The sequence below is a fragment of the Homo sapiens genome, chromosome 20 (assembly GCF_000001405.40).
Source record: "Homo sapiens chromosome 20, GRCh38.p14 Primary Assembly".
NCBI classification, from domain to species: domain Eukaryota; kingdom Metazoa; phylum Chordata; class Mammalia; order Primates; family Hominidae; genus Homo; species Homo sapiens.
In genome coordinates, this window is record NC_000020.11 from 44,144,630 (window position 1) to 44,169,552 (window position 24,923).

The 24,923-nt window shown below is 47.8% G+C and overlaps 1 protein-coding gene and 1 long non-coding RNA gene across 2 annotated transcripts in view, besides 2 other annotated features; one reads left to right on the forward strand and one right to left on the reverse strand.

Moving 5' to 3' along the window:
- The window catches only part of JPH2 (junctophilin 2), an 80,599-nt gene that overhangs the window by 38,040 nt on the left and 17,636 nt on the right, over positions 1 to 24,923 (reverse strand). The window contains exon 2 of the mRNA NM_020433.5: positions 14,989 to 15,778. Coding sequence (NP_065166.2) covers positions 14,989 to 15,778 — 790 coding nt within the window. The remainder of the gene's footprint in view (positions 1 to 14,988; positions 15,779 to 24,923) is intronic.
- Positions 7,289 to 13,891, forward strand: LOC124904909 (uncharacterized). Its single transcript, XR_007067596.1, has 2 exons — positions 7,289 to 7,532; positions 13,000 to 13,891. It is a non-coding gene; the product is annotated as an uncharacterized LOC124904909 (long non-coding RNA).
- Positions 8,689 to 9,938: an enhancer, noted in NCBI's record as "amplified fragment containing the chr20:42781958-42783206 (GRCh37) CAGE-defined region". NCBI's record gives its function as "transcribed enhancer in T cells {active_cell/tissue: T cell}" and the evidence as "EXISTENCE:reporter gene assay evidence [ECO:0000049][PMID:24670763]".
- Positions 21,949 to 22,209: a silencer, noted in NCBI's record as "fragment chr20:42795218-42795478 (GRCh37/hg19 assembly coordinates)". NCBI's record gives its function as "represses an EF-1alpha promoter that drives an FKBP-Casp9 reporter gene in an ReSE screen in HepG2 liver carcinoma cells {active_cell/tissue: HepG2}" and the evidence as "EXISTENCE:reporter gene assay evidence [ECO:0000049][PMID:32094911]".

Sequence of the window (24,923 nt, forward strand, 5' to 3'; positions counted from 1 at the left end):
AGCAGCTGAGAGACTTTCCCTCCCCACCGTGGTGAAGATGGTGGAGTCTGGCTCAGAGAATCGGAAGCCCAGCTGTGTCAGTTCTCGTGTGAGTTTGGACTGGTTTTCTCATCTGTGAAAAGGGCTAATATAATAAGTAGCACCTCCTTCGTGAGGTTTACATGAAATGAGACATAGAAGGGAACTCAGTGTAGAGGCTGGCAGGCAGTGGTGAGAAGGGGGCACTCAGAGATGCCCTGTCCATGCCAGGCACTGCTCCCAGCACTGCACATTTATCAACACCAACATGACCCTCTCCTAGGCCCCACGGGGCAGGTTCTCTCATGATCCCCACCTTAGAGATGAAGAAATGGAGGTACAGGAAGCTTAGGGAAAAGCCGCTTGCCCAAAGCCACGAGGCCAGTGAGAGTGCAGGACTAGAGCCCAGGCCCTGACCCTGGCCTGAACTCACTGACCCTGGGGCAGCCACTAGCATTCTCATTTTTACCGTTATATCAACACTCTTGGTCTGGGCCCTTCCAGCACTGATCCGAATCCCTGGGGCTCAGCTCAGAGCCAGGAGCAGGGCCAGGCACTGGTCTCACTGTGGGGAAACACTTGCATCTGTGGGAGAGGGAGATTTTTCTCCCGAAGGTGCAGGCTGCTGGCCTGTATGTTCTCTGACTCTGCTACTTGGGCTGAAAAGTAAAGCTGGACCAGGCGCGGTGGCCCATGGCTGTAATCCCAACACTTTGGGAGGCCGAGGTGGGCGGATCACCTGAGGTCAAGAGTCCAAGACCAGCCTGGCCAACATAGTGAAACCCCCGTCTCTACGAAAAATACAAAAGTTAGCTGGGTGTGGTAGCGTGCCTGTAATCCCAGCTACTCGGGAGGCTGCAGCAGGAGAATCGCTTGAACGCGGGAGGAGGAGGCTGCAATAAGTCGAGATTCCACCACTGCACTCTAGCCTGAGCGACAGAGTGAAACTCGATCTCAAAAAAAAAAAAAAAAGTAAAGCTGGCAACACTCTGGAGCTAGGCCCTAAGCACCGTTTATAGAGGTGGAGGAGATAAAAACATTCCTTTCCACTTTGTGGAGTTCTGTCCTCTTTCATTTGATTTATTAATTGTGACCCAGAAGCCAACTGAGGCTTCACGAGAGCCTCCCTCACCCTGCCTTCCAGCCACACTCCTCTCTGCTCTGACCCCGACTCCCTGCACAACCCTAGCTGGGTCTCTGCCCTTTGGTAGGCCTCAGTTTTTTCATCTGTAAAATGAGCACGTTGGGCCTCCTCTTTCCTAAGGCACCTTCCAGCTCTGACCAGCTTTTTCTGAAGACTGAAGGAAGCACGCTGGGTCTTTTCTCTAGTACTCTACACTCCAAGGTTGGAAGGCCTGGCTCCCCAAAATGCATGGTCACCATTGTTCTTTTTTTTTTTTTTTTGAGATGGAGTCTCACTCGGTTGCCCAGGCTACAGTGCAGTGGTGCCATCTCGGCTCACTGCAAGCTCCGCCTCCCGGGTTCACGCCATTCTCCTGCCTCAGCCTCCCCAGCAGCTGGGACTACAGGCGCCCACTGCCACGCCCAGCTGATTTTTTGTATTTTTAGTAGAGACAGGGTTTCACCGTGTTAGCCAGGATGGTCTCGATCTCCTGACCTTGTGATCTGCCCTCCTCAGCCTCCCAGAGTACTGGGATTCCAGGCATGAGCCACTGCCCCTGGCCCACATGGTCACCATTGTTCTAACATCTCCTTGCTGCCTGGGACCCAGGCAAGCTCCCCTCTCTGCCCAGACCACTCAGCCTTCCAGTCACAGCTGCCTCATGTATGTCTCGAGAATCCGGCTCTGACAACTCAGGAAATTCCATTCACTCCTGCACCTCAGTTTCTGGGCACAAAGGGACTTTGTCCATCTGGTAATTCACAAAGGAGGGATGTGGTGAAGGGCAGGAGTCCGGGGTCGGGGGCCTTTCCAATGCTTCAAGCCCATCCTCAGGGAATTCAGTCTCTCTTAGTGGAACTTCCTACCTATCCAGGCATCTCAGGAGGTAAGCCAGAGACACTGAGAAAAAGGACAGACATAGCCTCTGTGGATATGGGCAGTTGTTTGGAGGAGTGTTGAAGGTGGCCACTGGGTTCACGGAACACCAGATTTTCTTCAAAATTTTTTGAGTTTGGCAAAGATGCAAAAGACTGATAGCACATAGCTCCAGCAGCAAGGGTGTGAGGAAGACTGCGCTCATGTACACTGTTGTGGGGGTTATAAATTGCAACCCTTTTGGATGTTAACTTGGGTTCTGATAATAATTAAAATGCACATTCTTTTTGACCCCAAAATTCTAATTTTAGGAATTTAGCCCATAAAGTGTCATCTGCATCTCCTTTGCAATTATTATTCTTTAAATATTTGTTGAACATATACTGGAGAGGTGGGGTGAGACACTAGATGGGGTTGGCTGGATTTCTGCTGAATTCACTCAGGGGTACTGTGGACCCTGTCAAGAGGAACCAAATTGACCAAATTGACATTTTGACAGTAAATGTCAGGAGTCAGTCCCTTGCAAAGGCCCACGTGAATTGCCATTATATTCCCAATGTATTCCAGTGCTGCTTGAATGTCCCTGATGGGATACATTGCCTGGCTGGGCCATTCCTTTAATCAGCCCTGTGAGCAAGGATATTGGTCCAAGGCTGTTCACTGCGGCCTCACTGGTGATCAAGAAAACATGAAATGTTTTCAGTCTCCATCAAAAGAGATCTGGTTCAATGAATCATGGTACCTCCACACTACGGACTAGCATACAGCTGCTAAAGGGAGGAAGATAAATCTACATGCATAACATAAAAAGATCTCAAAACATATTACATCAAAAACGCAAGTTCCAGAACATTATGTAGGTAGTCCTAGTTATGAAAAACAAAAACGAACAAAACCAGAATAGGTAAGTAGAAGAATTCTATAAGCAAATTGTAAACAACGGTCACTTCAGAGGTGCAACCCGGGTGGAAGTAGAACAGGGGATTTATTACTTTTTTATTTTGTACGTGTATGACCTTCCTTGGATTTTGCGTGTGTAAGATCTTCCTTGGATTTTAACGACAGATATGTTGTTTAGAACAATGTAAGAAAAGAAGAAAGGAAAGAGAAAGAAACTCACCGTATCTGAAGTAGCAGCACAGGGTGGTGGCTCAGAACATACGACTCGGGTCCAGAATCTCAGCTCTGTCACTTACTGGCTGTATGACTTAGGACATGTTAAAAACAACACAAGGGCCGGGCATGGTGGCTCATGCCTGTAATTCCAGCACTTTGGGAGGCCGAGGCGGGTGGATCATTTGAGGTCAGGAATTCAAGATCAGCCTGGCCAACATGGTGAAACCTTGTTTCTACTAAAAATACAAAAATTAGCCAGCGGTAGTGGCACGCACCTGTAATCCCAGCGACTCGGGAGGCTGAGGTAGGAGAATTGCTTGGGCCCGGGAGGCAGAGGTTGCGGTGAGCCAAGATCACACCACTGCACTCCAGCCTTGGTGACAGAGTGAGACCTTCTCTCAAATAACAGCAACAACAACAACAAAAACAAACAAAAAAACCTCTCTATATGCCTAAGTTAGAATTAGATGAGTTAATTTAGCTGAGCACTTAGTGGCCGCCACATATTAAGTCCTCAATGAATGTCATCCAATAGCGTTGGCCATTATTATCCCAGATCTCCTGGGATTCCCCGAGACAGCTGAGGCTGAGTGGTGGGACTGGAAATGGATGCTGAGGCTGGGTCAGCCCCCATGTCTCCTGACTCCCGTTCCAGTGCTCCTTCTGCTCTACGTGCCTGCCTCTGTTTCTGACACAATGGCCTTCCCCTAACAGATGAGGAAAGGGAGTGTGGTGAGGAAACAAGGAAAGGAAACAAAGGGTTCTTCGTTTCTTTCCCACCTGCTGACAACGTCCTGGATGCAGAAAGGGGAAATGTGTTGGGCGAAGGCGACCCGAGCTGCCGCGTGGCCTTAGGTTCGTTACTGCCCTTCTCTGTGTGTGGGTTCTGGGTATTTCCCCTCCCTTCTCCCCCACAATCTAAGGTGGGCATCTCTGAACACCTGCAAGCCCCCTGATTCAACACCGGGCAGACTGCCACCTCAACACTCTCCTTCCTCCAATTAAAAAAATCAACAATCGGCCGGGCGTGGTGGCTCACGCCTGTAATCCCAGCACTTTGGGAGGCCGAGGTGGGTAGATCATGAGGTCAGGAGATCGAGACCATCCTGGCTAACATGGTGAAACCCCGTCTCTACTAAAAAAATACAAAAACAATTAGCTGGGTGTGGTGGTGAGCGCCCATAGTCCCAGCTACTCGGGAGGCTGAGGCAGGAGAATGGCGTGAACCTGGTAGGCGGAGCTTGCAGTGAGCTGAGATGGCGCCACTGCACTCCAGCCTGGCAACAGAGCAAGACTCCGTCTCAAAAAAAAAAAACATTCTCCCTCCTCCAATTAAAAAAAAAAAAGAACACAAGAAGGACAATTTGACTAACCATGCCCCAGGCTTCTGGAAGCCCAAGCCCAGCCTCCTGATGGTGCCACCAGGCCCTCCCTTCCCACCCCAGTGGCTCTGCCATGTTTCATGTCTCCACCATCTCCCCAGATCCCTGCATTAGCCTCCTCACTGACGCCCAGCCTACAGCCTAGCCCTTGCCATACTCTCGCTACAAGAGCCATGGTCCAGGTGTGGTCATACACATTTGGGCAGACCGCTCCCAGCTCTCGTGGCTACCCACTCACAAAGCGGGGCAGGGTAGCATATAGCACACATATATGATTTCTCCGCCTGCATAATATTTGTCGTGTGTGTGTATGTGTGCATGTGCATGTGTGTAGCCACACGTTGGTGAGTTTTCCTGCCTGGATGTGAGAGCTTTGGGGTTTAGTGACAGGTGTGCTAGGCCTCCCTCCCCATTTCCCTGCTGCTCCATCCCACTGCCTGTGACCCTGCCCTCTTCTTCCCCACCTCCTTCTGCCCTCTTCCCCCCAACCCCTGCTCCTAAATCAAGTCCTCCAATTTGTTATACAGAGTACTTAAGAACTGGAAGATTTTGTGCAGGGCACAGTGGCTCATGCCTGTAATCCCAGCACTTTGGGAGGCCGAAGCAGTGGGTCACTCGAGGTCAGGAGTTTGAGACCAGTCTGGCCAACATGGCGAAACCCCATCTCTACTAAAAATACAAAAATTAGCTAGGAGTGGCGGCGCATGCCTGTAATTCCAACTACTGGGGAGGCTGAGGCATGAGAATTGTTTGAACCTGGGAGGCAGAGGTTGCAGTGAGCCGAGATCATCCACTGCACTCCAGCCTGGGCGACAGAGGAAAAAAAAAAAAAAAAAAAAAAAAAGAATTGGAAGAGTTCATGCTAACCGGACATTACATGCCCCCTGATGTGATACAATATGAAGTACACAGAACTATTTATTAAGTTTTCATGCCAGAAAAATCTAATCTGAATCCATTTGAGACAGAATTTACAGGAAGTACAGGAAAGAGAGAAACAAGTTAAACAGCACCATAAGGAATCAGCCTGACAAATCCAGAAGATGTCATGTCATAAAAAAAATGAGGAGGATGGTTCTAGACTAAGAGATTTAGGACACAGCTCCCAACCTGAAAATAAAATTTAAAAACAATTCTACTTAAAGTAGCAGCAAAAAGAATAAAACATTTAGAAATAAATTTGGCAAAATAAGTATAAAATTGTACACTGAAAGCTATAAAGCATCACTGAAAAAAGTTAAAGACTTAAATAAATTGAAAGGTGCTCCATGTTCATGGATTGGAAGACTTAAAATTGTTAAAAGGACAATATTCCCCCAGTTGACCTACAGGTTTAACAAAATCCCAGCGGCCTTTTTTTCCCCTGCAGAAATTGACAAGCTGAGGCTAAAATCCATATGGAAATGCAAGGAACTCAAAATATCCAAGATAATCTTGAAAAAGAAGAACAAAATTAGAGGACTCACATTTCCCAACTTCAAAACTTAGTACAAAGCTACAGTAATCAAGACCAGCCTCTGGCATAAGGATGGATGTATATAGATCATTGGAACAGAATTGAGAGTCTAGTCAATAAATAACAACAAAAAGACAAATACAGGCCAGGTGTGGTGGCTCATGCCTGTAATCCCAGCACTTTGGGAGGCCTAGGTGGGTGGATCACTTGAGGCCAGGAGTTCAAGACTAGCCTGGGCAACATAGCAAGACCTCGTCTCTACAAATATATATTTTTTTAATTAGCCAGTTGTAGTGGCATGCACCTGTAGCCCCAGCTACTTGGGAGGCTGAGATGGGAGGATCACTTGAGCCTGGGTGGTGGAGGCTGCAGTGAGCTGACATGACAACACTGCACTCCAGCCTGGGCAACAAAGCAAGACCCTATCTCAAAAACAAAACAAAACAAAAAGATAAAGTAAATATGGAAAAATTGCTAATAATTATTAAATCCAGTTAATGGGTACTTGCGTGTTCATTATATCACTCTCTCTATTTATATATATGTTTCATATTTTCCCATAATAAAAAGTCAAAAAATGGAAATTTTTATAACAAAATGCAAATCTCTAGTTCATCTTGGAAAATCAAGAGTTGGCTGGGCACAGTGGCTCACGCCTGTAATCCCAGCACTGTGGGAGGTTGAAGCGCATGGATCACCTGAGGTCAGGGGTTTGAGACCAGCCTGGCCAAAATGGACAAACCCCTCCTCTACTAAAAATACAAAAATTGGCTGGGCGTGGTGGCACATGCCTGTAATCCCAGCTACTTAGGAAGCTGAGGCAGGAGAATCGCTTGAACCTGGGAGGTGGAGGTTGCAGCGAGCCGAGATCATGCCATTGCACTCCAGTCTGGGCGACAGAGCAAGACTCTGTCTCAAAAAAAAAACAGAAAGAAAAATCAAGAGTTGTGCTAACATTAAATCCATGTTTCTCTGGGGCAGCCATTAGCTAGGAAGGGGCAGCTTCCCCCAAGAGGGCTTGCAGAGACCGGGGAGACCTGGTTCCCATGGTCCCACCACCCTCTAGTGAGTAGGACACAAGCCTGCGGCCTGCCTGGCCCCTGGAACCTTTTAGCTTGTAACGTCAGACTCTCACTCCACCAGGCATTCAAAGCCCGTACTAACCTGGCCCTGGGCTGCCTTCTCGGCCTCATCTCTAATCTTTCCCCACCCATTCCAGCATTCTGGATGACTCATTGCTCCCAAAATACATCACGCACATTCCTACCTTCATGTCTTTGCACATGCTAGTTCCTCTACCTGGAACGACCTTTCTCTCTCTTTTCCACCTGGCAGACTCCCAACCAGAGGTGGCCCCTGCAGGGAGCTTTCCCAGACCTCCTCTGGGACAGCTAGTTGCTCTTTCTGTTGGACCCCATCAATTTCATCTCCTTCCTCCCTCTCCACCACCAACTGTCCAATCCCTGCATGGCTTCGCCCTCAACGTGGGGGTCTCCAGAGGACGCTGCCCACACTGATTCACCACTGGGTGTCCAGCGCCCTGGCACAAGCCTGGCACAGGGTAAGTGCTTCTTAAAGTTTGTGAAGGAAAACCAACCGAAGGTCAGATCGTGGTTAAGAGCATTCTAGAACCAGGTCACCTGGCTTCAACTCCCAGCTCTGCCATGACTCAGCTGTGCAACCTGTTTGAGAAACTTAACCTGTCTGTGCCTCAGTTTTTTCATCTGTAAAATGAGAATAACAGTACCTTCCTCACAGGGTTGTTTTGAGGATTAAGTAAATTAATATATCCCCACTGGGCACGGTAGCTCACATCTGTAATCCCAGCTCTTAGGGAGACTAAGGCAGGAGGATAGCTTGAGCCAAGGAGTTCGAGACCTACCTGGGCAATATAGCAAGACCCTGTTCTCCACAAAAAAGGGGGAAAAAAAGTTAATACATGTAAGGTACTTAAAATCATGCCCGGTTCCCAGAAATAAGGACTAGATGAATGCATATTAAATAAAAATTAAATAAGCAGGCTCAAAGATGGGCAATTACCAAGACCCTCCCTGAGACCTGGTCCAGTGTCAGGCCCTCTTCCCTCTGGTGACCTGTGTCCCCCATGGTGTGGAAATGAGTGTTGGCAGTGCAGAATCACAGCCTGAAGTGACACCAAGTCCATTTTGCTCATTAGTTAAGGAAAAGGCCTCCGTGGGTGCCTACGGCTCTTTCATACCAGTAAATCTCTTGCCAGTTTCTCTTTTAAACAAAAAGAAAACAAACTTTAGGCTCAGTGCCTTTGGGCATCAATAGTTTGATGTGGAACTTGAATAGCATTGTTCTGTTTTCAGAACTTGCTGTGATATTGATTTCGCATTTTCAATAGTGATTAGAAAGTCTTCCTTTTCAATAAATGTACTTACGTATTTTTAAGTAAGTTGATTCAAAGATGAAGATTAAGACAGTAAGTAGAGATGGTGTGTGAAGGTAACAAAAACTGGGACTGGGGCCTGCAGAAGATGAACATTTGGGAAGCACAGTTGTAGGGACTGAGAGAGAAGACAGGGCCTTCCCTTGGGGCAATTTCATTCTTGGGTTAGTACAGAATGACACAGGATTGATAATAACAGCTTACACCTCCTTGCATGCTTTCCAAGCACCGGCCCTTTACATGAGCTACTTCTTTTACTCTCTGCAGCATTACTTTCAGGGAGGAGGTAATATAATTCCCATTTGATTAAACAGGAAAGTGAGCCCAGAGGGGTGAGGTAACTTGCCTAAGGTCACACAGTTTATAAGAGGCTGAAGCCAGATTCAAACCTAGGTCCATCCAATGCCACTGCCCATGGACTACATAGGTTCCTGCTCACCAGAGAAATTCAGCTCCCAGCAACTCAAAAAACCAACTCTAAGCTATGATCAGCTTCGGAGTTTCCAGAGCCAGCATGGGGAGGAGATGGAGGTGGGGGGCTGAGGGGATAGAAGACAGACAGATGCCACCCTGGTACAAAACCTGAGATGCTCCAAACCTCACACCCTAGGACAACTGAGAACTCAGGGCCATGCCCTGCCTCTGCCACGGGGGCACAACAGCAGGAAGACTAGACAACAGCAATGGCAGCTGATGCTTACAGACTACTTCCTGCTTGTCAGCCCTGTGGCGTGTGTATATACCCTTCGTATAGAGGCTCTGCTTCAACCTTGTGAAAACTCTTTGAGGTGCGTCTTCTAGAAGTTAGAAATTTGAGGTCTGGCGGGAAGAAAAGATATAGCAAGCAAGGGGCTGAGTCTAAGCCTTACTCTTAACACTCACTGTGCTCCTTCCAGAAAACAAGCATTTGTCAGGGTGTTGGCATGACAACCTGAAAACTTTAGGCGCCTCCCCAAACATACCAGCTTCCCTCCACAATCCAGTATCTATGACCTTAAAAGGCATCACAAAAGAGTTCTTAGCTACAAAATCAGAAGACATAAATCTAGTTCCCTCTCGATCGCTTTGTGGCTGTGAGTATATCTGTATCCTTTTCTGCACCTCAGTCTCCCCAACTGCTCAGTGACAGGGTTGGGACTACTCTGAGGGCCTGAATGGGTCTACAGCAACACTGTCCAATAAATATAACATGTATCACATTGTAATGTTAAATGTTCTAGTAGCCACATTCAAAAAAGTAAAAAGAAACAGTGCAATTAATTTTAATAATGTATTTTGTCAAAGCTGATGTATCTAAAATGTAACCATTTCAATATGTAATCAATATTTTAAAAATGATTAATAGGTTACTTTACATTCTTTTCATACTAAGTATTTGAAATCCAGGATGTTTCACATTTACAGCGCATCTCCATTTGGACCAGCCACATTCCAAGTGCCCAGTAGCCATGTATGGCAAGTGGCTACCATACTGGACAGCCCAGGTCTAGAATCTTTTTCAATCCATAGCTCATTTTACAGGGAAGAGCTGTCTCATCTTTCTCCCTTCTCTTAGAAAAGATGTCCTGATCGTAGCCTCCGGGCTGACAAATTCCACATGAGCCCGGAGGGAGGAGCTGGAAGCCACAATGGAGAGAAAGCCCGGGCCTGCCTGGGTGTGAAGAGGCTGTGGCTGCTGGGGATGCTTTCTGTCTCTCCACAGCCAAATTACTCATGAAGCCCCAGGGATGGGGAGAGTCCCTGCGGAAGATGGCCACAATCCTGCTTTTCCTCCTGACCCCAAAATTCCCTTAATTGGAAATTCAGTCTGAGCTTGAAACCCATCCAGGCAGCCACCTCCACCCATGGCAACATCTCCATGGGCACGCAGGACTCCTGCCCCAGACACACAAGGAATCCAATCCCACAGCAGCACCTCATGCAAGAGGCTGGATCCCAGCTTCTCAGTCCCCAGGCTCACTTCCCGGCTGTGGGCCTGGCAGCCTTCTCGGTGGGAGCTCAAAACCTCCACATGCAGGGGCACAGGCATTGGCAGGAAGGACCAGGAGGGCAAGGAAAATAAGGGGGCATCCCTCCTTCTCCCCAGACTTCCACTTCCTCACCTTTAAAATCAAATGTTGTTAGATCATAGCAATGATTGTCTTTATGCTGGCTGCCCTGTGCCAGGCATTTTACAGGCATTAGCTCGCATACTCCTTCTAACCACCCTATGAGGAAAGAGGATCCCAGGGTCAGAGTGGTGAAGCAACTTGGGCAAGGTCACACAGCTCTTCAGAAGAAGAGCTGGGGTTCCAATTCATGGTCTTCTGAATCAAGAACCTAAGCTCCTTCCTGCTGTGCTCTGCCTAAGTGGCCCAGGGTGTTCCAGGACAGTCCGAGCTTACACTTGTCATAACCAGATATATTTAGTGTAATTATTTAAAATGTTCCCTTTGGAAGAAGGAGCAAATCTTCCATACAGAGGAATTTTAAATAATATAGGTAGATATTCCCCCCTCCAAAAGGTGTGCCTGAATTCCAGACCCTTCTCCCTCTTGAGTGTGGGCTGCACTGAGTGTCTGAATTCCAAAGGATGGAGCGGGAAAAGAGGAAATAGTAACTGTACATCAGAGAAACCTGGCTGACCCACCTTAGCCAAGTGATCAAAGTTAACATCCTCAGTTTATAAGAAACATATCAGACAAACCCAAATTGAGGGACACTCTATAAACTATCTCACCAGTACTCCTCAAAACTGTTGGGCTGGGCGTGGTGGCTCACACCTGTAATACGAGCACTTTGGGAGGCCAAAGCAAGAGGATCACTTGAGTCCAGGAGTTCGAGAATAGTCTGGCCAATATGGCAAAACCCCATCTCTATTAAAAATACAAAAATTAGCCAGGTGTGGTGGCGCACACCTGTGGTCCCAGCTACTTTGGTGACTGAGGCACAAGAATCACTTGAATCCAGGAGATGGAGGTTGCAGTGAGCCAAGATGGCACCACTGCACTCCAGCCTGGGCAACACAGTGAGACCCTGCCTCAAAAAAAAAAAAAACTGTCAAGGACACACAAAAAAAGCAAAGAATCAGAAACTATCACAGACCAAAGGGAACCAAGGAGATCTGACAACTAAATGCAGTGTATGATCCTTCAGGAAATCCTGAAGCAGGAAGAAGACATTGATGGAAAAACTAGTGAAATGCAAATAAAGTCTGGAGTTCAGTGAAGAGTCGTGTGCCATGTTGGTCTTGACAAATGTATTATGATAACGTAAGAAGTTAACAATAGGGGAAAATGGGTAGAGTGTATGGAAACTCTTTGTATTCTTTTTGGAACTTTTCTGTAAATCTAAAATTATTCCCACCTAAAAGTTTTATTTTTAAAAAGTGCTCCCTTTTACTCACAGAAGTGTTCAGGTTTAGACAATAAATTATATGAGCACCTGGTCATAAGCCTGGTCCTGCCTGTCTTAGACCATCTGTGCCACTTTAACAGAATACCTGGGACCGGGTCATTTGTAGGGGAAGTCCAAGGTCAAGGCACCAGTGGGTTCAGTCTCTGGTGAGGCCATTGTCTTCCTCCAAAATGGCACTTCGCACACTACATTCTCCAGAGGGGAGGAAGGTTGGATCCTCACACAGCAGAAGGCGGGAGTGCCAAGAGACAAAAAGGGGTCAAACTCACCATTTTATAAGGGATTTAATCCCACCCATGAGGATTAATCACCTCTCAAAGATTAGTCTCAGAACTAATCACCTCCCAAAGTTCCCACGTCTTAATGTTACAATGACAATTAAATTTCGACATGAGTTTTGGAGGGGATAAACATTCAAACTATAGTTGCCTCTAACCAAGATGTTTTAAGAAAATCACCCATACCTTCTGTCCCCTTCAGTGATGCCAACGGCTCACACACTTATAGCAGTGTAAAGTTTACAAAGTTTAGCATTAGCAAGATGTGCTAAAGTTTTTGAATCAGAAAGCTAGAGGCTGATGCTTGGGTTCTCCCACTTGCTTGCCAGGTAGTCTTGGGCATGTTACATTCATTCCCTGGGCCTCAGTTTCCATGTCTGTAAAATGAATTCATTGTACGATGACAATGACTAGTCATATTTTTCAAGCCATGTCTGGTGTCCGACACTGTAGTGGTGACTCTGATGGGCTACCCAGATTCCCCTTCAGGACTGAAGGACTTATTTCTCCCACTCCCAGCTACTCAGAGAGTTGCCAGCTGTCAGCCCTCTCCAGGGATTGCCCTTGGCTGAAGAGAGCTGTCCAGCCCTAGTCAAGCCTCCTTCTGGAGGGTAGCCTGCATACAAATGAGGAGAGTATAAAAGATCCAGCTCCCTCATCCCAACTTGCGATGACCTTGAAGGTCATCTCCACTGCAGAGCATCCCTTATGGTTGGCTGAGGCTTTGTTGAGACTGTATTGCAACCCAATGTCTCCCACCGCCCAGTCCGGCCTTCTTCCCTTCCCCACAAGTGTTGATCCAGAGGGTGCTCCCTGTACATTTCCTGCATGTTAATCTTCATCTCTAAGTCTGCTTCCTGGGGAACTCACCTCACAATAGGATTGTGAGCCACCTGACCTGCACTGTCGTTCCTAACCCTTAGACCAACTTGTCTTTATAGATGAGATCATTGAGATTAGAGAAGAAAATGGATCTGGCCAAGGACATACAACTAAGAAATGGCGGTGCCACAGATGGAGAAACTGACACTCAGACAGGCCAACTGATCTGCCCACATCAACGAGCTAAAAAAATGGCAAGGCCAGGATTTGGCCCTAGGCCTGCTTAACTCTGAAGACCATGTGCCCAGTCTCCTGCCAGGCCATTTACATCCTCAGGAGGATTGCTGCAGCCCCAGGACAGGCGATTGCCTTTTACCACCCTCCTGCCAGACCACACTGCTGCTGTCCCTGCTCCTGTACCCCACTTTTGCTGGGTTGAAAAGGTTGAAAGGGGTACCCCACTGCTGCTGTACCCCACCCCAAATTTGCAAAATGAGAATAAGAACAGTATCTACCTTTTCAGGATCTTGTAAGAGTAAATGAGTTAATATAGGTAAAGACCTCAGAACAGTGACTGGCACATAGAGAATCCTATTTAAGTGGTGGGTTAAAAACAAATCATGTAAGTCATGTAAAGCTGCACCTGTGGCGCGCTCTAAGGACAGAACGGCAGCTGCCGGTGGACCTCATCCGCTCTCTAAGGGAGTCAGGCTTGACCTGAGCCCTGAAGGAGGAGTAGAGGTTAAGTGAGTGGCAAAGGAACCAGTATGAACAAAAGCTCTGTGGCAGGAGGAACTAAAGAAGGAAGAACTAGCACAGAGGGAAGAAAACTCCAGGCTCAGGGAAAGAATGACAAAAAATAAGGCTGGGTAGGAGGGTGGGAACCTGATTAGAAAAGGCCACTCACTAACTGAGTGATTTTGGACAAGTCACCTTATCTCTCTGAGCCTCACTTAGCTCATCTGCAAAACAGAAATAAACACAGTACCTATCATAAGGTTGTTAAAGGGACTGAGTGAGTCCATATTTGTGAACCACTTAAAATTGCCTTGTACCTAGTAGGTGCCATAAATGTTTGGAGACAACATTAGAACTTTATCTGAAGCACAATGAGAAGACTTAAAGGGGTTTGAATGTAGATGATAGGGTGGGTGTTTAGTAGATGGGAGGGTGGATGGACGCATGGGTAGATGGATAGGTGGGGGAGGTTGAATGAATAGAAGTTTGGTTGAGTGATAGAGGTGGCTGGCTGGGTAGCTGGATGACCAGGCGGGTGGGTGGGAGTGGATGTTGTTTTAATGAACAGAAGTGTCGCTGGGTGGATAAATGGAAGTACTTGAGTGAATGGATGCGTGGCTGGATGTTAAGATGGGTGGCTGGGCAGCTGGAAGCAGCTGAGTGAATGCAGGTGATTGGTGGGTGAGGGGACGGGTGAGTGGTTGAAAGGGTATCTGTATGTTTGAATGGGCATCTGGGTAGTTGGACGGGTGGTTGAGTCGATGAATGGATGGGTGATGAGCTGGTTGAGTAGGTAAAAGGATGAAAAATTGGGTAGGTTGCATGGAATAGATAAGTAAATCTTTGAGTGAATGGGTGGTTGTTCAGGTAGATGTTAGGCTGTTGTTCAGGTGGATGTTCAGGTGTGATGTGGGACTGGAGGTGGGTGTGTGGGTGGAGGGGTTGTTCAGTGAGTGTTAGAGAAGTTAGTCAATGAAGGAATTGGGTGGATTTGGATGGATGTTTGGGTGGTTGACTGCGAGGTTGTGTGGATAGATGGATGACTGGATGACTGGGTGGGTAAACAGGAAGTGGAATGGGTAGGGGAATGGAGTGGATGACTGGAGAGATGGCTGTTCAGGTGGATATTAGAAAGGTTGGGTGAGTGGTAGGGTTAAGTCAGTGGAAGGGCTGGGTGTAACTGAGTGATGGATGGATGGGTGAGTGAACAGGAGCCACCAGCTCCCGAAGAGCCTCCAATTAACCCCTGAAGGTGATGGGGGTAAAAGAAGCAGAATCAGGCTTGGAGACAGGGCCTCCTAGGTTGCCCTGCCCCAGGACCCCCTTCTCCGAGGGGAGGCGACCCCTTCCCACCCCCACCGCTGTCCTACCTGGAGGCGGCAATCTCGGCCTTCTGGCGCGCGATAGCAGCGGCGCGCTGGGCACCCTCCACACTGTGCTCCACTTTCTGGCGGACCTTGTTGCTCTTGAGCTGCAGCATGCGGCGCTTGGTGTCCTTGACCAGCACGTTGTGGCGGTACTTGCCCTCCTCGCGGTGGCCGTCGGGCAGCGTGGTGCAGCCATAGCCGTGGCGCAGGTTGTCCAGCCACTCGCCCTCGTAGCGGAGGCCACTGGAGCGTTCGCTCACGCCGAAGCCCGAGCGTTTGTCGTTCTTCCACTCGCCCATGTAGGTCTCGGTGGTGGTGGCGTCGATATCGGCCTCGAAGGGTGCGGCCTCGTCGGCGCCCTCGGCGGCCTCTCCCAGGCTGGCGGTGGACGCGGCGTCGCTGGCGCCCGAGCTGAGGTCGCTCTTAAGGAAGCTGACACGGCTGCGCTGGCTACCCACGGACGTGCGCGACTCTGCGCGCCGCAGCTTGCCCAGCAGCGCGCCCCGCTGGAAGAGGCCGCCGCCCTTGGGCGCCCGCGCGGCCGCCTCGGCATTGGCCAGGAGGCTGAGCGCGAAGCCGCCACGCGGGATGGCGGGCGAGGGCAGCGCGGGGCCGTCGGAGGCCGGCGAGGCGGGAGAGTCCGGGGCCACCGTGCCGTTGCTGTGCTCGCTGCGCAGGGACGACAGCGACGTGCGCAGCGGCGAGCGCACCACCACGGCCATCCCGTAGGGCACGCTCTGGCGTACTCCGTAGCCATGGCGCATGCCGTTGGTGAACTGGCCTTGGTACGTCCCTGCGGGCGAGGAGAGGGCGCGTCAGTAGGCGGCACGACGGGTCCCCGCGTGTGCACGGTGGCCTGGGAGGGCAAGGGCGGGAGTGGGCAAGGCGGGGTGGGACCGAGAGGCGCAAGGCCGTCTGAGGGTCAGGGTGCACAGTGCTATGAGTGTTTGAGTCTACTCGAGTGTGCAATAACACGAGTGGGTGAGCCAGGAGGAGCTTGCACGATGGTAGGAATACGTTGGTGGGAACATGGCAAGGTCACAAGTCGTGAACGGATAAGCTAGTGAGTTCGCATGGTAGTGCAAATGTTGGAGAGCATGGGCTTGTGTGTGTATTTGTGCAAGATCGTGCGTACAAGACACTTGTGGGCGTGCATATCGGTGTCTTTTGACTATATGAGATCATGAGGTGGGGGCAGGTGGCTCACGCCTGTAATCCCAGCACTTGGGAAGGTGGAGGCGGATGGATCGCTTGAGCTCAGGAGTTCAAGACCAACCTGGGCAACATGGTGAAACCTCTCTCTACAAAAAAATTAGTCAGGCGTGGTGGCATGCACCTGTGGTCCCAGCTACTAGAGAGGCTGAGGTGGGAGGATCACCTGAGCCCGGGAGGTCGAGGCTGCAGTGAGCCATGATTGTGCCACTGCACTCCAGCCTGGGCTACAGACTGAGACCCTGTCACACATACACACACACACACAAATCATGAGTGTGCAGGGTAGTGTGTGCACAGTGGGGTGAGTGCCTGAGATCTCACGGAGTTGACATTATGGATGTGTATGAGGTTCTGAGTGTGCAAGGCTATCAGAGTGCCAAAGAACAAAGTAATATGTAGCACTCCAGGCTGAGTGTGTGAGGTGATGGGCATCAGTGAAACCGAGACACTGAGACCGTATGAAACCATATGGAGGAAGGCTAGTGGTGTGTACAAGGTGTCGGCAACTTAGGCCCTGCATGTACACAAGTCCATGAGCTCCTGGGATTAAGATGCCTTATGTTAGCAGCCATCCAAGTCTTATGTGTGTGGAGAGGCAGCAGGGAGTAGTGGTTCAGAGCACAAACTCCAGAGCCAGGCTCCCTGGGTCCAGATCCTGCCTCTGCCCTTACTAGCTGTGTGACCTTGGGCAACTGACTTAACCTCCCTGTACCTTAGCTTCCTTATCTGCCAGAGGTAATAACTGCCTCTTACCTCCTAGGGTTTTTTTTTGAGGTTTAAATGAGTTAATGTCTCCGAAAAACTCTGAAAGCAAAGATATGTGTGTGATACTGTGATTCTACAAAGTTGTGCTCACGTGTGAGGTCACCTGAGTTGTATGACAAGCTGATACACAGCTGCCAAAATAACTTCATCCTTCACCCCCATCCTGACATGTAGTTCTCCCCAGGGCTCATCCAAAAACCTTCTCCTATTCTCTCTAGATGACTGCACATCTAGTGTTTTTAAACTGCCATTTATGTCCTGCTGACCTCCCCAAATATATCCCCAACCCCTCCCTCTCCCTTCGGTAGCTCCAGATGTCACCTTGGAAATTTGTGTTCCCTCAGATGGTACACAGCCACCTCCAGCTCACATCTGCCCTCACTCACCCCACACACACACCTGGGCCACAGTCCTGGTCTTTCTTTCCCACAGCAGTGCTGCTGAAAGGCAGTTCTCTGCCTTCGTCTTTGTACCTCCACCATGTAGAACGGTACCTGATACATAACGTTCACTGCACCGAAGGCAGAAATTCTGAGGCTTCTTTGTTTTAAACACAAGCTGATACATTCTCCCTAGTTAACAAAAACCAAAAGGTCTTCCTGCTAATAAATGTCCAGGAGCAAGATGGCTGAGTAGACAACCAAGGATGGGACTCCTAAACTCACCCCAGCAGATCTGCTGTTGCACTGCTCTTCCCTCTTCCTGGAACTCTTTTCCTCCAGATATCCTTCAAGTCTTTGCTCAATGAGACCTACTCTGACCCCCTGTGATGGTTAATACTGAGTATTAGCTTGATTGGATTGAAGGATGCAAAGTATCGATCCTGGGTGTATCTGTGAGGGTGTTGCCAAAGGAGATTAACATTTGAGTCAGTGGGCTGGGGAAGGTGGACTCACCCTTAATCTGGATGGGCACCTTCTAAGCAGCTGCCAGCAAATATAAAGCAGGCAGAAAAATGTGAAAAGCCTAGACTGGCTTAGCCTCCCAGCCTACATCTTCCTCCCATGCTGCTGGATGCTTCCTGCCCTCGAACATCAGACTCCAAGTTCTTCAGCTTTGGGACTCGGACTGGCTTCCTTGCTGCTCAGCTTGTGGACAGCCCATTGTGGGACCCTGTGATCGTGTGAGTTAATACTCCTTAATAAACTTCCATATATATATATATATATATATATATATATATATATATATATACACACACACACACACACACACACACACACACACACATCCTATTAGATCTGTCCCTCTAGAGAACGCTGATGAATACACCACCCTGTTTAAAACTGCAATCTGCTTATTTCACATTGCGTGCCTTTATCAAAACATCTCATATACCCCATAAATATTTAATATATACATCCATTATGAACCCACAAAATTTTTTCCAAAATTGCAATCTGCCTGCACCCCCACCACCCTGCTCACTTATCTACTTTTCCTTATTTTTCCCATAGCACGTATCACCTTCTAACATACCATATGACTTATTTATTACATTAATTGCTTTTCTCCCTCTGCTAAAATGGAAGCTCCATGAGGGCAGGGATCTTTTCTATTTTGTTCTTGGATGGATTCCAGAACCTGGAACAGTGCCTGGTACACAGAGGTGCTCCGTTAATATCTGCAAAATGGCTGACTGACTAAACCTGTTCAAAAATTCCATCTCATTGGGTGACCTTGGCAATTCCTTTTCTTAACACCTCCATTGTCTGCCTGTCAATGATGTGTTGGGTGAAGAGCTCTCCAAGGCTTGATCTAACTCTGAGATGCTGAGCTTCTAGGAATTGGTGCACTGTAACTTTGGAGGCGAAGGAGGGCACATCTAGATGCTTCCACACTGCCTGGTCCCTCCCAGCACATTGAGCTCAGGATCCCACTTCTACCCCATCCTACCTCTTCTGCATGAAGAGCCCCCATTAAGGATCAAGAACCCCCATTAAGGATCATGTACAATGCCAGGGGCTCACTAAACCTCTCAACAGTCCTGTGAGGTGAGTCCCATGATAATGCGAATTTCCAGGAGGATGCTGGTGATCTGAGAGGTTAAGCAATTTGACCAAGGAAATGGGATCCAAGCCTAAGCCTGTCTGATGCCAGAGTGTATGCTGCGAGCCCATGGCTCTTAATCCTGGTGTGCATTAGAAGCACCAGTGAAACTTTAAAAGAAAACAACTGATCCTTGGGCTTTACCACCATCAATTCCTGTTTATTCTGTTGGAAAAGGTCCCTAGTGCTTCCAGCCCCTCTGGACAGCAAGAAAGAACAGCCAGGAGGGAGAGACACCTGGGCTCTGTTCCCTTCAATGACCAGCCTCAAAAAACCAAGGATCATGGAATATCAGCAATAAAAGGGCTAAAGAGAAATGGAGAGAGACAGAAATGGAGAAGAAAGCATTGGGCATGATCTCATAGAGGAAGATGCAAATATGACCTCTATTTCATAGGTAGGTTGATGTTCAGAGAAGTTATGTGACTTGCCCAAAGTCACACAGTGAGAAAGGAGCAGAACTGGGATTTGAACTAAGATCCAACTTAAGCTAAGGAAGTGGAAAATGGGATTGTATGACAGGTGCAATGAACAGAGAAATGGGAATGTGGTATAGCTGATGAAAAATGGGAAGTTGGATAGATGGGAAACCAACAGGTCGCATTTCCCAAGCTCATTCACATGTGATCCCATTGGATGGAGGCTGAGGACAGAATGGAATGTGGAGTCATCCTGGCTTCAAATATCATCTAAGCTGGGGAACCTTGGGCAAGTTCCTTCTTTTGATCTTAGTTTTTTTGTCTGGAAAATGGAAAAGTAATACCCACTTTCCAGGGGTCTTTTGAGGATTAAAAATAAGACAACAAAAAATGGAAACAATTCAAATGTCAGTCAGCTGGTACATGGATAAACTAACACAGTGAAGTGCTAGAAAAGAGAGTGTGCTAGAAAAGAGAAGTGCTAGAAAAGTGCAAGAAAAGAGAGCAGGCTGCTGTTACACACAACACATGAATGGGTCTCCAAAACATGCTAAGTGAACAAAGCTAGAGATGAAAGCTGTGTGACTCCAGTTACATGAAAGCCTCAAAAAACAAACAAACAAACAAACAAACAAACAAACAAACAAACAAACAAACCTATAGTGCCAGAAAGTGGATCTGTGGTTGCCAGGGGCTGGGTGTGGAAGGAATAGAATGCAAAAGGGCACAGGGAAACTTCCTGAGTTGATGGAAATGTTCTGCACCTTTTTTTTTTTTTTTTTTGGAGGTCGGGGGATGGAGTTTTGCTCTTGTCACCCAGGCTGGAGTGCAATGTTGCAATCTTGGCTCGCTGCAACCTCCGCCTCCTGGGTTCAAGCGATTCTCCTGCCTCAGCCTTCTGAGTAGCTGGGATTACAGGTGTGTGCCACCACCCCCAGCTAATTTTTGCATTTTTAGTAGAGATGGGGTTTCATCATGTTGGCCAGGCTGGTCTCAAACTCCTGACCTCAGGTGATCCACCCACCTTGCCTCCCAAAGTGTTGGGATTGCAGGTGTGAGCTACTGCGCCCAGCCAAATGTTCTGCATTTGAATTGTGCTGATGGTTTACACAAGCGTGTACATCTGTCACACCTGTACATTTCAAATGCATTTTATCATATGGAAATTACACCTTGATACAGTTGGTTTTTGTAATGTAAATAAATAAATTGTAAAGAAGCTTTTCAGGAAAAAAAAAAACAAAAAAAACAACCCAGCATAGCATTCTGCAAATATCTATCAGGAAAGTCATCAGCTCTACTTTCCAAATGGATCCAGAATCCAGCCGCTTCTCACCACCTCCACTTCGACTAGAGAGTGGTCTGTGCCACCGTTCTCTCTCACCTGGATTTTCATAGTGACTGCCATACTGGTCTCCTGATTCCACTCTTGCCCCTCTATCCATCCCTAACACAGCAATCAGAGGGATTTTGTTCACATGTGTTAAGTCAGATTACGACACTGCACTGACCCTTCTCACTCAGAAGAAAAGCTGAAGTCCTTAGTGACCCACAGGCCCTACCTGACCTCATCCCCATTCACTCCTCTGTGCTCCTCTCCCGCCATCCTCCCCTTTCCCTCACTGCACTCTAGCCACGAAGACTGCTTTGCTGCTGCACAGGGGCCATGGAACCACCTCAGGGCCTTGGTATTGCTGTTCCCTCTACCTGTAATGCCCTTCCTCCAGATACCTACATGGCTCACCCTCTTGCCGTCTTCAAGCCTTTACTCAAATGTCATCTTCTCAGTGAAGCCACCCGTGGCCACCCTACTTACGATTCAACCCGTGCCCAAGGTCTTCTATCTCCCTTCCTTGCTTTATTTTTCCTAGAGCATATCTAGTGCAACATACATTTTGCTTTTTCTTGTGTTATTGACCATCCCCCCTCACTGGCATGCGAGCTCCTTAAAGGCAAGGATTCTTTTCTTTTTTTGTTCACTGTGGTATCCTCAGTGCCTCGAACTGTGCCAAATAGGTACTCAGTAAATATGTGTTGGATGAATGAATGCATGAATGAACAGCAGGCATTCCGTAACTGTTTATTCTCTTCTTTCTGTTTTGTCCATCTGCAAACAGCTCTGTGGAAATGACAGCTCCGGGGAGGTATTTTATGGTTCCTGTTTTACAGATCAGAAAAAACTAAGGCCCATCAAGGACAAAGGACTCATCCAAGATGACACAGCTAATAAATATGCCAGAGCCAAACTCACATCCGTGTCTGGCTATGCTCCTCTACTTCTCAGAAGAAATTTTTAAAAATGAAAGGGAAAAGTGAACAGGCAGAGAGCAGAGAAGATGGTAAACTGGGAGAAAGAGACAAGACATCTAATCTCTGGGTTGGACAACTTTATGAAATTAAATCAACCAACCTACCTTTAGCTTCAGTTTGGCATGAGATGGGCTGATGTAGTCCCTTTAAGCCCAAGAAAAACTGAGATTGCAACAGGAGAGCAGCTCTTGGCCACCAGTTGGGAAGGAAACAGTCAGGCTATATTAGGAAACTTACAAGCAAGTGGCAAGAGGCACAGACACCCAGGGGAGGCTGGGAGTGACAGGGCCCTGGGAAGGGGAAAAACCGACTCCTGAGGCCACCCCCACTCCAACTCCCTCCAAGACAGGACAGTTCTCCCTGGAGACAGGAAGAATGCATCCACAGAGGGAGAGAGGGAGGCCGCTGCCCATGGCCATCTGGCTGAGAGGGGCCGTCTGCAGAAGGAAGGGCCTCCTCCGATACCCTTTGGACTGCCTCCTCACTGAGCTTTGTAAACCCTGCAGGGCTTCCCACTGTCCCAAAGGAAACGGGGGAGATCCCCAACAGCCCACAAAACCTGGCAGGGGCCGCCCCTGCCACCTCCCCTGCCTCATCTTGGACTGCTCACCACTCACACTCGCCTTCCCACCTTGGGGCCTTTGCACAAGCTTTCCCCATTTCTTCACATGCTCTTCTCTTCCCTCTTCCCCTGGCCAACTTCTATTGACAGTTCTAGCTTTGGCTTAAACGTGATTTCATCCAGGAAGATTTCTTGAGCCCCATTCCCTGAGTGCTGCTGGAAACAGCCACATGTTATCATGTCATCCATTTTTCTTAGCACTTTCCACAGGTGCCATTGAATAATTATCATGACCATTTGTTCACCAGAAGCCTCCCCTGCTTGTCTTTGCCTTCCAAGAGGGAGGAAGCTTTGTCTACCTTATTCTTGCTAAGATGCTAAGCTCCTGGCATCTAGCACAGTTCCCAGGCCCAAGGAAATCCTCGGTAAGCATCCGATGAATTTTCAAGTCTTTTCCTGAATGACACTCTTATGTCCTTTGAGAGGCAGGAAACCCATCTTTTTTCCCTCATGACTCGGCATGCAGTAGGTGCTCAGTAGTGGACAGCACTGGCTGCCAAGGGTGTTCAGGTCCAGATTCAGCAGTTCAAGCCCTGGGAGTTATTGGTGTACATGTAAAATGCTGGTGAAGGCCATAACCATGGCAAAAATACGGTCCTGTCCCCCCGATAGGACTCCCGAAATTAATAAAACCTAAATATAGCCTTCTCCTTGCAGTTGCTCTTCTGGTGAGTATAGAATAACAGGGATTTAAGTCTAAACTCTGACGTTGAATAGTTCTAAGACATGCATAAACTATTTAAGCCTGCGGAGCCTCAGTTTGTCATTCTGTAAAATGGAAATCATGATACCTTCTTCATCTGGTTGTTCATACAACCCTTTGCATTTGACAAGCTAGATGAAGACCATGCATTCTTCTAGCTAGGTGCTGGGATACAGCCGTGAACTAAGTGGACATGATCGCTGCCAGCAAGGGGCTCAGAGTCTTGTGCCAGGGATAGACTAAATATAATTAACCAATCACAGAAATAAATGCAGCCATGGCAGCAGTCCAGATGAGAGGTGATGCCCCAGGTCTTGAGTGGCAGGGAGTGGGGAGGGTGGGTTGAAGATTAAATAAACTGTGTGTGAGGCAGCTAGCTCAGTGCCTAGGATATAGTAAGTGTTCAATAAACCCTAGATTTTTGACAGGTCAGAGTCTTTGCCCAGAAAGGATTAACTGGAAAGATGAAAAGGAGCCACACAGAAGACAGAGAGAGCTCAGGAAGAAAATGAGACCAGCTCCAATTTTCTGCCCGGTTTGTAAGTTGTTTGTAAGAAAGCATGTTTGTGCTCTGGAATACTCAGATTTTGAATATTCCAGAATTTTTAAAAATTCACACAAAAAGAATGGAAAATATCTCATTAATGATTGTATATTGTTTACACACAAAAAAAATATTGTGGATAATGAGTTAAATAAAATGTATTATTAAAATTGGTTTCACCTTTTTAAATATGGCTACTAAAAATTTTTAAGTTACATACATAGTTCATATTATACTTCCATTAGAAAGTTCTGGTTTAAGTCATTTGGAGTTAGGGTTTTCCTTGACCTGCAGACAAAAGAGTATCTTAATGGATACAGGTAACATCATTTTGATTTTACAGTTGGAAAAGCCGAAACTAAGAATTTTAATGACTTGCTCATATTAACACAATGTGGCAGTTGTTGGCAATCACAGCCAAGCGTCCTGACTAGTGCTTTCACCTCTAAGAATATGAGAACTTCCCTTACAAGTTAAAAGTTCCAAAATTCTCACCCAAATCTCAGCTCTGAAGAAAGCGTGACCATTTCGGAAATGCAAGTGCTATGGTTCAGATGTTTGTCCCCTCCAAACTTCATGTTGAAATGTTATCCTCAGTGTTGGAGGTGGGGACTAATGGGAGGTGTTTGGGTCATGGGGGCAGATCCCTCATGAATAGATTAATGCCCTCCCTTGGGGGTGAGTGAGTTTCTGCTCTGTTAATTCCCACAAGAGCTGGTTGTTACAAAGAGCCTGGCACCTTTTCACTCTCACTCTTGCTTCCACTCTTGCCATGTGATCTCTGCACACACCAGCTCCCCTTCACCTTCTGCCATGAGTGGAAGCAGCCTGAGGCCCTTATCAGAGGTAGATGCTCCACCTTGAACTTTCCAGCCACCAGAATCGTTAATCAAATAAACCTTTTTTCTTTGTAAATTACCTGGCCTTGGGTATTTTTTTTTTTTTTTTTTTTTGAGATAGAGTCTTTCTCTGTTGCCCAGGCTGGAGTGCAGTAGTGTGATCTTGGCTCACTGCAACCACCGCCTCCTGGGTTTAAGCAATTCTCCTGCCTCAGCCTCCCAAGTAGCTGGGACTACAGGTTCCTGCCACCATGCCCAGCTAATTTTTTGTAGTTTTAGTAGAGACGGGGTTTTTCACTGTATTGGCCAGGCTAGTCTCGAACTCCTGACCTCATGATCCGCCTGCCTTGGCCTCCCAAAGTGCTGGGATTACAGGCATGAGCCACCACGCCTGGCCCTCAGGTATTCTTTTACAGCAACACAAAATTGACTAAGACACCAAGGAAAAGCTGGGAGATCCAGAATCCAGTTT